At 39.1% G+C, this 18544-nt stretch overlaps 1 protein-coding gene and 1 long non-coding RNA gene across 4 annotated transcripts in view; both read right to left on the reverse strand.

The window, feature by feature from the left end:
• Positions 1-18544, reverse strand: part of KCNIP4 (potassium voltage-gated channel interacting protein 4) — a 1220167-nt gene that overhangs the window by 1113887 nt on the left and 87736 nt on the right. The window lies entirely within an intron of this gene.
• KCNIP4-IT1 (KCNIP4 intronic transcript 1) lies at positions 849-10696 on the reverse strand. Its single transcript, NR_002813.1, has one exon. It is a non-coding gene; the product is annotated as a KCNIP4 intronic transcript 1 (long non-coding RNA).

Genomic DNA, 18544 nt, shown 5'->3' on the forward strand with positions numbered 1-18544 from the left:
TACAAATGCTTTTTATGTACAAGTACTTTGACACTAGATTTTATGTACAAAGGCTGTATTTTATGTACAAATACTTTTACGCATTTTATGTACAAATATTTTAACACTAATTTTTTAGAGCTCTATGGAGATACTTTTGCTTTTTCTAAATATTGCATATTGCCATTTCAATCTGGCACATATTTTCACCTAATACAGATTTTTAAGAAGTAATAGTCTTCTAAATTGTCTCTGATAGTTCTTACTTCAAATATTACTTTCTTTCATATTAAGGTAACATTATTACAACGATTATTAATGTAGGGCTAAGAGTAAAACAGCTTGAATTTTCCTCTAGGCTCTGCCATTTCTATTCCTTTCTGTACCTTAATTTCCTCATCTGTAAAGATAGCCATTCTACCAACCTCACTGGGATGTTGTGAGGATTTAGAGTTAATTCCTTGTAGAGTACTTAGAACAGTATATGGCAAATAATAAGTGCTCAGTAAAAATTAGTGTTTCATACCTACATTTCAGAATTAAAACTTTATTATCAGAAAATAAATGTTTTGCTTTATATTATTTTAAAGTAGATGTTACTCAAATTCTCTTAAAGAAGGGTAAAAGCCCCAAATTTGAGCAAAATATGTGATTCATCCTGTAAATTAGCATCTTTTGAAAACTAAGTTAACTTGTTAAAAGCTATTGTTATTTATTGGGAGAATGTAAAAAATAAAACTCAGCTACTAATAATAGCTTCCACTTCTCGAACACCTTTTATATTACTGGGACTTTGTCAAGGATCTTATATTATATCTTGATTAATCTTTCCATTAGCATTATATAACTGATATTTTCATTTCCATTTTGCAGATGAGGAAACCAAGGATTAGATAATACAGTTTGATGGGGTTTAAGACATGTTAGCCCAAAAATATGGCACCTTGACATTGGAGACTATAGCAGAAGCAGGAAGGTCATTCTCACCTTCCCCTCAAATTTGGTCCTAAAATCCAGGAAGGATTTTTCTGACCTTCCCTTGAAGTGGGTCATAAGACCCTCATTCTAGAGTGGCTTCCATATTCCCAGAAGAAAGCAAAATCCTATCTCTGAAGAAACAGGATACAGAGGAGAATCTGAACCAACTGGCCCTGCTAAGTTCTCCCCAGTTTATTTCCATTAGATCACACTCCATTTTTCCAATCACACTCCATGCTGCCTCTTCATCAAACCTAGCATATAAACTCAACTTGACATGACTACCAGAAATAGCTGGAAAGAGAAAGAAAGAATACGACAATTACAATTGCAAGTAATATGACAATATGAGGTCTTCAATGAACAGACAGGATAGTCTCAAACTCCTCAGTAAGTTTTATATTTTATTACTTTCATGAACATGAATGAACAACACATAACACAGCACAGTGCCTTGCACAAACATTCAAGAGGTGCCTAGACAGACTAACAGGACCTTTCAATGCATTCAATTCCAACATTTGTTAATTGCCCCTAAGCATAGTAACTGAAAGGAATAGTAAGATAATAAATGAGTTCTCACCACAGAGAGCTTGCAATGCATTCACTCACTCACTCTACACATATTTATTTACATCCTTACATGTTGAAGGTAATGGGAACCAAACATGAATGAGTCAAGAATCATGCATTGAAGAAACTCACAGTATTTCAGAAGAATTTAGGACACATATACACAAGCAATTAGAATAGAAAATAGAAAAAGTATTTCCTAAGAACACAGAGGAAACAGTGTTTGAGAGATTAAAGATGGGTACATGGAAAAATTGATTATCATTCTTCAGCCTGCACAGTGAGATATACATTTTGTATACGTTATATGCTTCAAATGTTTTTAAATAAATATAATACATGGGTAGAATTTATAAACGTAGAGATAAGAAAAAAAGCTGGTTGGTAATTATAAACAGACAAACAGCATAAGCACAACAATCTGACAGTCAACTCCAAAATATGGAATTACTTGGCCCTTTTTTAGCACTCTTTTCTTTGCCTCTCCTATGTCCACACCAGAACTGCAATTTCTAGATTGCAGTACAATGGTGAATGGGGATCATAATCTTCCTGCTAGCTGACCTTCATTTTTTGAATCCTGCTTCCTTTTCCAAGTCCATTGATGAGGTGAATGAAGTCCAAGAATGGCTACGTTTTCAGAATTTACATGGGTATTTTAAGAAAACCTCATTCCAAAACCCAAATATGTCCCTGCTTTATCTTTATGAGACTACATATTTCAACAGGACACAGTGTTCATGAAGTCATTCTATTATTAAATACATGTGTTCTATGTTATGCTGAAATTGATAACCCACTACATCACCTCCCAAAGAAGGTTGTGTAAACTTGTCACAAAAAAGAGAATTATTTCTGTAATTTTTCCATTGAGAAAACCAAGGCTGAGAAAGGTTGTATAACTTATCATATTGGTAATAAATAGAATAAAGATTCAAAAAAAAAAAGAGGTTCTAAAACTGCACTGCATATTTGGATGCAATTTTGGTTTACGGTTTTAATTCAGGAAACAATATCAAGACAATAGGAAGGATGTTTAAAACCTACCCACATATACTTACTTATTTGTCACTTTGTTTGTTTCTAGGCACTAACTCTGCTTCCTTACAACATTTCAAGTACCTCCCAATACCATTGCTCTATTATCCAAATAGAGGGTTGGCAAATTGCTTCTGTAAAGGACCAGTACATGTTTTAGGCTTTGCAGGTTATACAATCTTTACCACAATTACTCAACTCTGCTGGCATAGCACAAAAGCAGTCATAGGCAATATGGAAATTAGTGTGGCTATATTCCAATAAAACTTATGTATGGACATTAAAATTTAAATTTCATATAATTTTCACAAGTAACAATATTATTCTTCTTGTAACTTTTATCAACCATTTATAAACATAAAAATCGTTCCAAGTATACAGGCCTTACAAGAACAGGTGGTGGGCCAGATTTGGCCCATTTGCTTACCTCTGTCCTAAATCATAACCACGATTCTTAGAAAATTCTTTTTTCCAAAAGCATAAGAGCAGATTTTTTTAAGTGTTTACCTACTTTTCTTGCTTTTTTTCTTGCAAAAGGAAGTTACATAGGAGCTTGACACTTCTTAGTAATAAAATTTACTTTTCCGAGCACCTTATATCAGTGATGCAAGGTGAAAAACTTAACCCTTTCGATTCGACATGTAGCTTGGCACCAGACTCACTAACTGCCTAAGTTAGTTAACTGGATTAACTAAATTAGACAGCTTCCCCAGTACAGTGTTTTTTGTCTTCTAGCTTTGTGATAACTCATTCGACTTTGAAATATCTTAGTAGCTGGATTGGCTAAATGTTCTGACTCACAAAATATTTTAGTTTTTAGTAAGTATCTGTTCAAAGATTCTTCCCAACTGCAGTCTTCTCCTCAATAACAGTCATATTAAATATGCCCTAGTGCTTATACGTGATTGCCTCTGTTTTTTTGTCTGTTTTGTTTTGTTTTTACTGCTAAAAGATTTGATCAGCTAACTCAGTCTCTTACTGAGACTTAATGTCATATAATATGGATGCTTCAATATTATACTTATTTTAATTTTCCTATTGTGCTCTTTTCAAAACACTCATAGATCTATAGTTTCTTTTTAAGCTCTAATAGAAATTTCTATTCTTGTCCATGACACTGGGATGAAATTTGAGATACTAATTTCCATGCACAGAACCAACATTAATGTTCTAATTTGTAACATAAATTCAATTCTTGCCAATAATTTGCATATTTCAGAGAGATAACATACAGACAGATATAGATACACATATAGAAAGATAAAGGCATTTACACATATATGGCAAGGGGATATACACAAAGAGAGATAGAGAATGACTAGAGTTCACAGAGTACAGCTAGACTTCCTGAGTTCAAATCCCAGCTCTGCTTCTTCCTATCTCTGATCTTTAACAAGTCATCTAACAAGTCTGTCTCTGTTTCTTCCTGTGAAATGGAGACAGTAATGGACATGCACGTCATAGGATTGCTGCGAGAATGAAGTGATTAAAGAATGCTTACTAGTATAGCATACATTCAATAAGTGTTGGTTATTATTATGATGCACCAGCTACCTGCATTTGTATTTGACTGATTTACAGTGACCAGATCTCAACTTATACTAGCTTGAGGATTTATTTGTTACCCCAAATGGCAAGTCCAAGGATTCAGGCGATCCTATTTTCTGGAGGCTCAATCAGTGGGGCCAAGGGCTCCACCTGTCCTGGGTTTTCCATCAGGCTCCCACCATGGCATGGATAAAATGGTAAGTGGCAACCCCAGATCCCTATACAACTGAGCAATACCTGTTTTTTCCATGTACTCTGGCAGAAAGTAGCCAAGGAGAACACTGGCCCAGTGCAAAGCATATGCCAATCTATGTTGGATAGAGAAGGGGAGATGAGTCAACCCCACCTAATGTATTCACAACCAAGAAGATGAGAAAAGAGATCCTGGGTAGACAGGAACAACAGATAAGCACCGTTATTCACAATTCTCTTTATAGACATTACCCTTTGTTTATTCTGCAGGTGAGCCAGTTTGGCCTTGTCTCTGTTGCAAAATCCACAGGTCCTGATGTTTCAGTTCATCACCTTCTATAACCACCAAAGCGGTAGTAACAGAAGTAATACCTTTTTTCCATACTTGATCTCCATTTTATAATAAAAGCACCCTGACAATCTCAGGTTAGTAAAATGCAATAGTTGAAATACACTCAGTGCTGCACTTTTTACATGTCGCTATCCCCTAGGGGTATTTCAAAAGAAGACCAGACTAGCCCAGTAATTAAATGCCCCCAAGCATACGTGGTAAAGCCATGTTATGGCAGATGTACTTTTAACATCACACAAGGATGTCTAGCAGCACCTAGTGAAAAAAAACACACATTTTCTTGTTTCAACTCTACCACTTATTTTAGAAACTAGACAAATCAAGCACTAAGTTTCTATATTTCTGAAATAAAGTCTGAAATATCCACTTAACCAATTACGCAGGAATATTGTGAGGGGATTAAATGAAATATCACACGCAGAAGTACTTCATATGTGTAACGAAAATACTTAGCAATATTATCTGTAATAATTAAATTGTTTTTTGTTTCCTAATCCTTCTCTTAATCACAAAAATGATTTCTTTCTTTAGTCTCAGGTTTCTTTTGTGCTCTTAGAATAGCTGTCACTTGACACCCTGTTGTCATCCCTTACACAAAATATTTCACCTTTTTTTATCTTTTCTGACACTACATTTACTCACTTTCTCTGCAATTTTTATGCTCATCTCTATGTTCTCTCTTTCCCTGTCTCATTTCCTTCTTTGTCTCTCTTTGCTCAGTTTTATTTTTTTAATTGGTCATTATCCCTTCACTAGCAACAAAAGCCCGCCTTTCCTTTTTCCTGTGTGGCAGAACCATTGCAACACGCTGGTTGGAATGTTCAGATCTTGACTTCATCTTGGCTATTTGACTGTATTCTGTCAATTCAGAATCACTGCAGAGGAGCTTCTGAGTCTGGCACCATTCTGAAGGTTTAACATTGTGGGAAGTCTCACTCCAGATAATTAAAAAGGTTGAACTTCTCAGCAGCTCAGATATTTGAGTAGCCTCTCAAGTTCCACTTAATGAATTAATTCTCTGTGCTTCTTGAAAAATAAACCACTCACCCTGAAAAGCCCATGGCACCACCTGCCTTCAGCATAAGGATTCAACATATGTGGGTGTTTGGGAGGACTGTTTTAGACTGACCTTGGAACTGGAAATAAGAGGCAGCAGCTGAAAGCAGACAGAACACACAGCTTCATAATCAGGCAGTGCTGAGGTCAAATTCTGGCTCCGTCGCTCACCCAGCTGTGTGACCTCCAGCAAGTTATTTAGGTGTTCTGAGTGTCAGATGACTAATTCATAAAATGGACACATTAACACCTTTCTCATGGAAATTTATGAAGACAAAAAGCACTCAACAAGCAGAATCCATCATCATTCTCATTAGCATTTTTGTTATTTAAAAAATCTAAACATTGCTCTAAAATATCCATAAAGGCCTAATTCTTTCAACAGATGTTCTTGATCATGATTTTTGTTATTTAAAAAATCTAAACGTTGCTCTAAAATATCCCTAAGGGCCTAATTCTCTCAAGAGAGGTTCTTGATCATCACCGCAGGTAAACATTATGGGTTAGATTTCAGATGGCACCCACCTCGGGAGCACGATTATTGAACTCAATCCTTAAATTATTTCTGGAGAATATGAGTATAATCCAGAACATGCAATCAGGTTGTGGCTGGGAAAATATGTTCACTCTGGTAGCAAGTATCACAGGGTGCTAAGAATACATGTGGGTTCTAAAAATGAATGGGACCTAAGGAGATACTGCCACAAGAGAAAAGGGTTACTTTGTGATATACATATATGTGTGTGTGTGTGTGTGTGTGTGTGTGTGTGTTTTCCTCTAAAAAATACATTGTGAAATAGGTGATTGGCACATGCCAAACCTTAGTTGTATTTTTACCATTTGTTGGAATCATTCCTTCTAAGAGAAACAAAATAAAAGGAATCACTCCGTCTACCTGCCGGTCTCAGTTCATTTGCAATGAAAATATTCATTTCTAATGAATGCAATATTTTATGACATAGAACAGGATTAATTCTGTTGTGCAATCCTGAGACTTTACTCTGTATTCTAATCCACTCTATTCTTTTAGCTGTGCAAAAAGAATAGGAGAGTGCTTATGGCAATATCAATTATGCACATCTTGAAAGGGGGCATTATAAAGAGAGAACATTAAGGTGAACCACTGTGTTAGCACGTAATTCCTGTGATAAGTGGCTTTTTTTCTAATCTAATGGCATCTCTTTCTATTATAAGAGTGGATCTTTGCAATCTGCAAATCAGTCTGGACATCAGAGAAGAAAGTCACCTAAAAACAAAACAATTATTGAAATTTTGCCTCATAGAGACTGATCAGCAGCAAAAATCAGCTCTAATCAGTGTATGCTCACATCGTCCCAGCAGAAAAAAATCAATCCAAAATATTGATCATCATGTTTTATTTTGCTGTCAGAGACAACTAGTACCAGATACGACAGTACTTATACAAAATGATGGCAATAATTACCTGAATTTATATCCAATTTAGATCATTATTAAAATTATTTTAACAATATAAAGAAAGAATACTAGATGTGAAAATTCTAAGGGAGTAGATGCTGCTCTTCAATAATCTTTATGCACAGCAAAAGAATTCAGTAATTCCCAAGTTGATAATACTAAATTAATTACATATTATCAAATTTTGATAAATGTGTGTGTGTCTGTGTGTCTGTGTGTGTGTGTGTTCCTATTCACTACACAAATAAGACTTAGGCCTTCAGGGCATAAGTAATGTAAATGTAACTATAATGGCAAAGCTTATTTGCTAAAAAAGAAAAATGGGCCTAGAACTTACATATGCTGAATTCCATCCAGTATTCCTACAACACATTTCAACTGGTGAAAATAGTAAGTCCAAGACAGAGTAACTGAAACAGAGTTATTTTGTGAGATAAACAGCAAAATCTACAAACCTCAAATAACTTTAAAAGCTAAATTAAAAAAAAAATTTAAGGACATTATAGAGATCTTTATATTTGGTGCTGTTTAGGACATATAAAATAATATCATCCCGACCACCAATAATACAGATGAAAGCTATCAGTCAGGGTCCTCATACTTCAGCAACTGAGAGACACTAATGAAAAATGTATGTTTTATTGGTTACTAACCTGGGTGACACAGTGGCCTTGTTGTAGAGCCCTACAAATATTCAAATCAATGCTATGATTTGAATATTTGTCGCCTCCAAAACTCATGTTGAAACTTAATTCCTGGGTTAATGGTTTAATGGGTTTTAATGGCATGGGACCAGTGGCTTCATAAGAAGAGGAAGAGAGAACTAAGCTAACATGCTCAGCCCCTCACCGTGTGATGCCCTGTGTCACCTCGGGACTCTACAGAGAGTCCCTACCAGCAAGAAGTCCCTTCAACCTTGGACTTTTCAACCTCCATAACTGTAAGAAATAAATTCCTTTTCTTTATAAACTGCCCAGTTTCAAGTATTTTGTTATGAACCACAGAAAACAAAAAAAGCTCATTTAATTTCAATTACATGATTTTTTTTCAGTTTTAAACTTTTATTGTAGTACAAAATAAGATTTTTTACATCAGTTTGATCCCGATAAGATCATCTTGAAACTGGAGATGGTCCCATTCACCTCAGCTCACTGACTCCACGCTCAGGCTTGCTGTGGAGCTCATGCCTTTTAACCCAAACACTACATATTCCCTCATTAACCGTGCACTCAACATTTGTGCAAGATTCAAAACTGATTGTTAGGCATGCATAAATAAAGCAGACAAAGTCTCTAATCATCATAAAGCTTAGAGTCTTGCGGGGCAGACTAACACAGAACATAATGACATAGGAAAAAAAACACTAAAAGCACTGTGAAAGAACACGATAACCTAGCTGTGGTAAAGGGAGGAGTAACACTCAAGTTTCTAAAACAATGTCAAGAAAACTGAAATAAGGTTGAAATATGCTGATATTTTTAACTTTCGATCCCACCCTAGCAGACAGAAGAGAGCCACAGGCATTAGTGCAGGGAGGGAGGAGAGGAGAGGGGTTAAGCTAGGGTTGAGAGTCCCTCAGGAAGGCATTCAAATCCCACTTACACAGATGAGAAAACCAAGGCTCAGAAAGGCTTTCTGAAAATCCAACACTGCATGTTCTCATTCATAAGGGGGAGCTAAATAATGTATACAGGGGAGCTAAATAAGGGAGAGCTAAATAATGTGGATGTAGAGTGTGGAACAATCACACTAGAGACTAAGAAGGGTTGGAGGTTGGAAGGGGTTGAGGGATGAGAAATTACTTAATGGGTACAATGTACATTATGCAAGTGATGGTCACTCTAAAAGCCCAGACTTCCCCTAAAGCAATAGATCCATGAAGCCAAACTGCACTTTACCCCTTAATTTTATGCAAGTGTTTAAAAATTAAAATGAAAAAAATACAAACACGGGCTTGTGTGATTCCATAGCACATAGCTTTATCCCAAGGTAAGGGGGCACACCTTAAGACAGCCCCCACTTTGGTGAAGGCTGCTAGTTTCTGGGAAGCTAGCAAAACATTTCTCCAACCAAATTGCGGAAAAGCTATATATACCACGTACACTAATAATAAAAAATTGCCAACATGAATCTCCAAGCTTTAGTTTTTTAAATTGTCAGATGGGTGCATAGGTGAAGGAGACAAGAAACACTGGCCAGGGGAGACTCTCAAGATACTGGAACCCTCGTCTCAGTTCTGTCTTAATAAAATTTTTGCTTTTGAGTTAATTGTTTCATGCCTATATGCTGTCTATGGTACCCTCTTAGTATAAGAAGTCTAGACATAAAAAACCTCTACAATTCAATTAATATGTGTGTGTGTGTGTGTGTGTGTGTGTGTGTGTGTGTGTTCACAGATTATAGAGATTCACAGCTGACAAAAAATAACTTCTGGGAGATAATTTTCTAGTGGGAAAGAAACATCAACAATTCATTACAAACCAATAAGGTCACTGTCAAGATAAGTGTGTGGGGACCTCCAAGGAAGCTCTCTATTTTACTAAAGTCCAGAGAGTCTGTCCCGGGAAGGCTTCCAGACTGCAGCTCATTGGTTTATTCAGCCAGTGTGTACTGAATGCTTTTTATAAGCTTTGTCCTCATTGAGGTTCTGGAAATAAATATTGTCAATAAAGCATGGCCCCTGCCTTCCATGAGGCAACTCACAATCTCTGCTAAACCCCAGGGAAAGGGTGGTTCAGCTACTTTTTAGGAAGAATTCTGGAAGAACTGAGAATGTTTACCTCTTCTAACAGTCTTCTCTCATTCACGTTTAATTTAATTAGAAATGGTCTAAATTGAACTTCGGCAGAGCAAAGCAACAAAACAACCTGAGAAACTCTATTTGTTAATAGGGTAGATTTAAGTCGATGTTCTCTAACACAGTAAACATAAGCTTAAATGTTCCCTAATTAGAGATAGTGTGAACCCAGCAGAGAATACCAAGTCCTATGGGGTGAGCCCACAGAGTCACATGTGCTCAGAGTCACATCAGTAACTCAGCATCATACATGACACATTCAAACTCACTCTGCATGCAACTGGTCTGTAGATTTATTTTTATTTACTGATTTTCTGCATTTTCTATTCATATTTTTAAGTAGAATTCTAACAGTTTTACTGTAGACTTTTGCCTTACCTCAGTTGGTACACAATTCCAAAATTCACCTATCTCACTAAAACAGTGAAGAACCATGATTTCCTTACTGTTACAATTCCCCACAAAAAACAAAAATGAATCAGGTCATTGTTACTTAAGTGATAAGTACCTTAGAGAAAGCTTTTTAACATACAATCACAGATCCCTTGTTGAAGAACACTTTTGCTAACAGTTTTGCCTTGCTGAATTAGGAAAAAACATTCTTTCAAGGACAGTAGTAAGATTGACCAGGTTTCTTTGTACTCTCTATATTTGAAGAAATTGAGCCAGTTCAGTCCAAGTCACTTAAATCCTGAGTCTTGATTGCCTAATTTGTAAAACTGTTCAGCTTCCTGCCAGACTCATAGGGTTGTAGTGGGGAGTTCAGTAACATAAGGCAGCATTTGGAAAGTTGTAAGAAAAAACAAAAATGATTATGAAGTCACTTTAAAATATAGGGCTCTAATATTTTACTGTCAATCACTTTCAAAGCAGTGGGACATTGTAGGCAAAACACCGGTCTGGGAAATGAAAGACCCAGGAGAACTAAGTTTTCATCTGGGTTTATCAGTGGCTGATTGACCTTTGAATAAGTCATATAATATTTTCTGAGCTTGTTTCTTCCTACTTATTAGAGAAACTGACTATATTATTTTTAAGTCCCTTTTCATTTATAGAAATCAGTGTTTCCATGATCATTTGTTAATTCAATTAACATTTTCTGAGCACCCTCATGACCCAATCACTTCCTAAAACCTCACTTCCTATCACATTACTTATTAGGGTTCAACACATGAATTGGAAGGATACAACAGAAACATTCAGATCATGCAAAAGTTACACATCAGAATCTGACCAGAATCAAGAAAACATTATTAATCCACCAGGCCATAAACATAGGGGAATATCTGAGAAAAGCTATCTGTCTAGGGTATCCATAAGAAAACAAGGTTAAGCATGAAGATAACAAACCTTCAAGGTAAGAACTAGCTGGGCTGCCACAGGCAAGTCACTTAACCTCCCTGGACCTCAGTTTATTCATCTGTCAAATAAAGAGTTTGGGGTCATGTGCCATCCATGGTCCTTTGAATAGCATCTAATGTTGTCATTAAGTGCTGCTCTGTGCAAGGCCTTGAGACGATAGAAGAACCATATGACCCGGGAATGGTAATAAGTTCAGTGATCACACAGCCTAGGTTGCTCAGGGCAGTGTCTATTTATGCCTGTTGTCCTCAGTAACTGTTCATAGCCCCAATAGCACTCTGTCTTCCCAAGTTTCACTCTCCAAAGTGTTCCAGTTTGAGTGCCCACATATAACCATCACCCTAGTAATCAGGCATATACGCACAAGCTGATAAGGCAAGATGATAAAACGGTAAGTATCAAGAAAGGGACAGACATAACTGCTCCTGCACTCAGCAGTGCAAAAATTAACAATCTGTTTACTGGATTTTCTAAGGCTTCATGAAGGAGTTGAGACAGAATTTAAACCTACAAGATGAGATAGCTAAATGGAGGGGATTCGGTACAACATATACAATTATGTTGAATGTCAAACTGCTTCTCATCCCACATATTAATTGCAGAGCAGAGTTTTTACTTTTTTTTCCATCAATGTTATATTTAACTTAATCATCCCCAAATCTACATTGGTCTTCTCCCCTTTTGAGTGTTTATGACCCCAATTGCTTAAATTCCCCCCAGTGTACAGGTGAAGAATGACAAAGGCATTGCCTATCCTGTGTGAATCTAGTAAACCTCTGTCTACCAGACTTTGATAATTGTCTGGGCTCTACCCTTGGCACACCATTCTTTGTACTCTACATTTGCTCTTTGAGAAATACCAGTCATCTCTAATGTTTGCTAGAATTGACTCCTAAACCATATTCTAAGCGATTGTGTTGAGCCTTGACATCTCTTTTGGAAACCAGGCCCTTCTTTCCAACAACTGGACATGGCCACTTGGATCTCCCTATTTCTTCTTTGGACTCTGAAGCTCACCCTCTCTAAGAGTGCTAATACAACATTTGTTCTATTTCATTTCTATTAGATACTTAAATGTGTATCTGCCTTGAGAGTTTGGACTGTGTTTTAATCAATATTGGATCATTAGGGCCTTTTCTTGTATCTGACAGTTTCCAATGAATACTATTGAATGGAAATGGCTGTTGATTTTCATTCCCTGCTCTATCATTTGCCCCTGCCAACTCTTCTTATTCTTGTCTTTGACTAGAGATGACAGATACTCCCAGGATTTTAAAGGTCATTTAAACATCGTCTTTAAGCAACAGACAGAATCTTCCCCCTACAGGGAGTTCAATGGAGAGCCGTCTATTGTTCAATTTTCGGTATCAAGCTAACTCAGAAAGGGAAGAATCACCCCTGTATCTCCGCTTTCCCATTTTTCTAGCATGACAGTCTACATAAGAGTTTTTAGTTTATGACTTTGTCTCTCTCAGTCTTCTCTCCTGCCAGTGACTGCAGTCTGACCTCCGTTAGCTTTTCTTCAATCTGTTTTACAAAATCACTCTGGCATTCTATTTTCATCTTTGTTTTCCAGTGTCTAAACCGCTGAAGCTGTGACCTTTCAAGCAAATGTAGCAATGGTACCAGCGCATCCTCTGATTGAAAAATAAAAAGTGAGCCCATAGGTAGTATAATTATTCTGTGTGTGCAGGAGTGGTGTCTGCACTTGCAGAAGGCAGATAATTGGATTTCAGATTATTGTTAAAAATATGCACATTCCACCTGAGCCCTAGCAGTTTCTTTTTTCTGGGACCCTAGAGAAACTTGAAACTTCCATTCTTCTATAAGTTCTTATCCATATACAATTGGCTTCTGGGTCCTACCTGTTCTATCCCCTGGAAGTCGCTAGCCCACTCTTTATTCTTCATTTTTTCTGTCTCCAGAATGCTTTCTACTGCTCCAGTACTCGCCACCATTATAATCCATCTGGACAGTCTGAAACTATCTTCTTGTTTGCACCCTTGCCCTTCTTCCCTCCATCTTCCACACACTTCCTAGAATTACCACAAGATTCTATCTAGTTGGGCTTTTCCTTCAAACTTGTCAATGAAACCTTTTAGCCCACATACAGTCTTTTAAAATTTAAATCAATTAACAACATTGAAAAATCAGAATATGTCTGTTAAAATGAGAGTTTTTACTTAACAGTTCTAGCAGTTCTAGGCCACCATTCCTATACAGTCACAATTAGCTGGAGCTGACTAGTAGCTGCCTCATAAGGAAAGGACAGAAGCTGTTCCTGTTGCCATGGTCTGTCCCCCTCACTATTGTTAACATTTTGACATCACCTTGGGTGGGGTCATTTATCATGGTGCTGATATATCACCAGAAGACTTCACTCATTTACAGGCTGGCTGGTTCCTGGAGACCGTGTGGACTCTACTCTATATCTTATTAGATGTAGGGATGCCAGAATAATAACTAATAAGTACTCAGAGCTACATTTGAGGGATAATCCCAAATGGGGATTAAATTTATTTGAGGGTTCCTGTAGATGAATATAAAGTTGTGAGTGGCTCTCTTTACAGAAATTTTAGTAAACATCTTATTGATGCCAGTGGCAGCCCATCTGGAGTGGCTGCTGCCATGATGCCGCATGCGGCGGGAGAGGACTGGCCGGGGCTGCCACCATGGAGTCAGCAAAAGCCAGGAACAGGCGGAAGCTCCACCCCCTTCTGAGTTGGCAGGGCAGGAGCCTTGCACTCCCCAGGTGCAGCTGTGGCACCCAGCTGTGGCTGCAGACCTGGGCATGCCTGTGCACTTGGGGGCTGGAAGTAGGCAGGAGCCCCACCTTCCCGGGCACACCTACAGCTGCCCAATCTGTGGCTGTAAATCTGAGCATCTCTGCACTCTCAGGAGCCCTGGAAGCCCTCCCCTTCCACTGCCTGGCCTCTTCCTACTCCAAGCACTTGAGGGTGCCTGCTCCTTCTGCCTGGCCTTTCCCCACTCCAAGCGCCCACTCCAATCTCAGAGCAAAGTGGAGGCTGAGCCTGAGTGCTGTCACAACCTGGCTAGGTATGTGCACTCTTGGGGCAGCACTGACACACCAGCCCCCTGCTGCCTTGGACTCCTCCAGACTTTGGGCACCGAGGAGCATGGGATGGAGGCCAAGGGCAGCTCAGAGCTGGCCTGCTGGCACCACTCAGCACAAACAGTCTTGGCATCATGAACAGTGGCAGGAGGCAGATAGGCTCCTGGGTGGAAAGACACAGGTGCCTGGTGAAGCCCCACCTTCAAGTGGGGAAAGGCCTGAAGCCTGGGGGCAAGGCTACCAGTTCTGCAGAGTGGGAACTTATGTTTTTTCTGGGCCTACCCATGGCCTTACATGAACCAATCAGCATACACTTCCTCTCCTTTGAAGTCCATACAAACCCCAGAACTCAGCCAGATTCAAAAAGAGATGACATGACCACCAGCTGCAGAAAGGAGCTACCTACCCCCAGGGTCTCCTCTCTGCTGAGAACTAAAAAGAGATCACAAGATGATCAGCTGTGGAAAGGAGCTATGCATGCCAGGGTCTCCTCTGCTGAGAGCTGAAAAGAGATGACAGGACCACCAGCTGTGGAGAGGAGCTACCCACACCAGGGTCTCCTCTCTGCTGAGAGCTGAGAAGATGATGGAATGACCAGTTGTAGACAGGAGCTACCCACCAGGGTTTTCTCTCTGCTGAGAGGTGAGAAGACAATGGAAAAATGGACCTGTGGAGAGGAGCTAACCACTCCAGGGTCACCTCTCTGCTGACAGCTGAACACTCGTCAGGACACCCTGCCTGAGGAAAGGAGCTACCCACTGTGGGTCTCCTCTGAGCTGTTTTATAACTCAATAAAGCTCCTCTTTGCCTTGCTCACTCTCCACTTGTTTGCATACTTCATTCTTCCTGGCTGCAGGACAAGAACTCAGGTTCTGCTGAATGGCAGGGCTGAAAGAGCTGTAACACAAAAAGGGCTGAAACAACCCCCTTGCTCGCCACATTGCAGGCAACAGGGAGAGAAGGGCAGTGGCCCTTCAGGGAGCCCAGACTTAGCTCCCAAGCCAGGGCTGTGACACCCTCTTTGGGGTTCTGCAGTTTCTGGTCTCTCCAAGCTTCTGAATGCCACCACATTCCCCAGTGCCAGCTGTGGAAGCTGCTTGCTGTACACCTGGTCCAGCAGCAGCCTCACAGGGAGGTGGCACCCGTGATGGTGCCTGGAGCTGCCCACCCCACCGCAGCCAGCATGCTTGGCTGCGCACAGTGGCTGGACCCCATGCTCACTCACTCACACAACCCTCACCACTTCAGTCACCCTTGGCAGATATGGGATCCAGGCTGGTAGCATGAGCTGAGCTCAGCCTGCCAGGTCAAGAGGGCCCAGTGGGCAAGAGCAAAACTCAGGCAAAGGCGCCACTGGCCACAGAAGTTTCCAGCTGGTGAAGTGACACCCCAAGGATCTCATAACATTATCAAGTTTTGTCACGGTCACTTCTATAATTGGATATTTTCAGTGTGAAAGAGAACAAAGAAGAAAAATGGCTAGGAAAAAGTTTAATTTCTTGATAGCTCTAAGAAGTGCTTTTCTTGTCATTTTCTGGATTGATTACTAGCACAAGATAAAATGAAAGTGTCTCAGCTTTCTCTGAAATGAAATTTAGCTTAAAACTCTAGTGGCCCAATTTCTGCCTCATTTCATTCCCTAACTCTCCATGGAGTTTACATAGAAATTATGGTTATGCGATGAAGAATTCAACTCAAAAGGTTCACTGTAATATTACAATAAAAATTACTTTTACAAGCACATTGGCATTTTTAATATATTTAGTTTATAATAAGGTACCACCAAAATAAAGTTAAAAGCAAGGTAACTTGCCATCACTCCTAATTGTGTGTGCTTTTTAGACAAAATTTTAACACAGCTTAAAAATTTTCTCATAAATCAAAATCAATTAATTTCCTTTTTAACAGTATTTAGGAAATCCTACTGATTACTGTTTTAAGACAACTTATTTTCCTAAAGTTATTGTGGCTGTTAGCTGAAACCACAGTATCCTAAGATATACTCATATAGAGTATTAATTGTTTATAGTTCTTAGGCTCCAAATTTAGAAAACACAGGAAATTTAGAAAAACAAACATGATGTTATAATAAAACTGTGTGGGAGTAAAGAAGAGATGGGAATCTATAGGATTATCCAACCCTCAAAGCAAAATCAGACACAAGGAAGATCCTCGAAATCACTGCTCTTAGATAAGGGAATTTTATCAGACATAGGACATAAGACCAAAAAGAGTAACTGTGAGTAACAAACTTCAGCCAAACATAAATAAACAATCTTCCAGCAACTTGCCACAAGTTGCTGAACTAGTCATCCCTATGCACACTTGGCAAAGGGCAAGACATTTCCAGATTTTTTGTGGAAGCAGGCAGAATGGTCGAGAGAGACAGACACTTGACTTCCCTTCATCGCTGTCCTGCTATCCTTTTGAGGACCCTTTCACCTGGCTTAACTGGCCTGTAAGGTATTGTTAGACTAACCACTTCTTAAGAATAGTGCTCTCGGGTGGATCACGAGGTCAGGAGATCGAGACCATCCTGGCTAACACGGAGAAACCCCGTCTCTACTAAAAATACAAAAAAAAAAAAATTAGCCGGAAAAATTAGCCGGGCGTGGTGGTGGGTGCCTGTAGTCCCAGCTATTCGGGAGGCTGAGGCAGGAGAATGGCATGAACCTGGGAGGCGGAGCTTGCAGTGAGCCGAGATCGCGCCACTGCACTTCAGCCTGGGCGACAGAGCAAGACTCCATTTCAAAAAAAAAAAAGGAATAGTGCTCTCATTTACCTAAAGAATCATGTCAAATGGTCTACTTCTGCAACTAGAGAGTACAGCTATCAATTAGTGTCTGAATGGAGTTTAAAAAATTGATTCAGAAGGGAGTGGCGGCTCATGCCTGTAATCCCAGCACTTTGGGAAGCTGAGGTGAGAAGATCGCTTGAGCCCGGGAGTTGGAGACTAGCCAGGCAACAGAGTGAGACTTATCTCTACAAATAATAACAATTACAAAAACTAGCTGGTGATGCTGGTGCATGCCTGTAGTCCCAGCTACTCACTACTTGGGAGGCTGAGGTGGAAGGATTGCTTGAGCCCTGGAGGTCTAGGCTGTAATGAGCTGTGATGGTGCCACTGCACTCCAGGCTGGACAACTGAGAGAGACGCTATCTAAAAAACATCAACTGATTCAAAAGGGTATTGAACCAAACATAATTTTTAAATGCATGTATTTATGATCAAGGAGAAGATTTGTCAATAATTTTTGTTTTGTTTTGTTTTTTTGAGATGAAGTCTCACTCTGTCGCCCAGGCTGGAGTGCAGTGGCACAATCTCAGCTCACTGCAACTTCTGCCTCCTGGGTTCAAGCAATTCTTGTGCCTCAGCCTCCCAAGTAGCTGAGATTACAGGCATGTGCCACCACACCCGGCTGATTTTTGTATTTTTAGTAGAGACAGGGTTTCACTATGTTAGCCAGGCTGGTCTCGAACTCCTGACCTCAAGTGATCCGCCTGCCTCAGCCTCCCAAAGTGCTGGGATTACAGACATGAGCCACTGTGCCTGGCCAGATTTGTCAAGAATTTAGAAGAGTTTAAAATGTTTCATATTTGAGATGACTATAATTTTAAATGTTATGACTTTTTTCCCATTTTTGCTAAAAGAATATAATTATTTTATCTCACCTAAATATGCTTAAAAAGAAATTTGATACTTGAACAGTGGAATTTGAATTCTGAGATCTCTTAAAACACTTTTAAGATAATTGGCTTATCATTAGACTCAGATTTCTACTGATACTAAAAAAAAAAAATCAGATATAACATTTTGTTTTTAAAGGACATTTAGAGCCCAGATCTCAACATGGATGCTTGTATACACAATTGAAGTTATACACATAGCCTATGTAGTTGTATAGATATACACGTGACATAACTATGGCTCCAATAATGTGCTAGTGTCACAGTCTACAAATATTCATTCTTTTATTTTGCTAAATCTTGAAACTGATTAATTTCTTCCCTTATAGAAAATTCTGAAATTTTTTTCTTACCCCCAAAACTGCCTGTTCCTCCCACCCAGTCAACAGCCACTCCATTCAAAAACTCTCAGTGCTACAAATGGCAACTATATTTTCCAGAGCAGAACAAACTATTCAAGAATATCAAAAAT

Source organism: Homo sapiens, chromosome 4, assembly GCF_000001405.40.
Source record: "Homo sapiens chromosome 4, GRCh38.p14 Primary Assembly".
Classification (NCBI taxonomy): domain Eukaryota; kingdom Metazoa; phylum Chordata; class Mammalia; order Primates; family Hominidae; genus Homo; species Homo sapiens.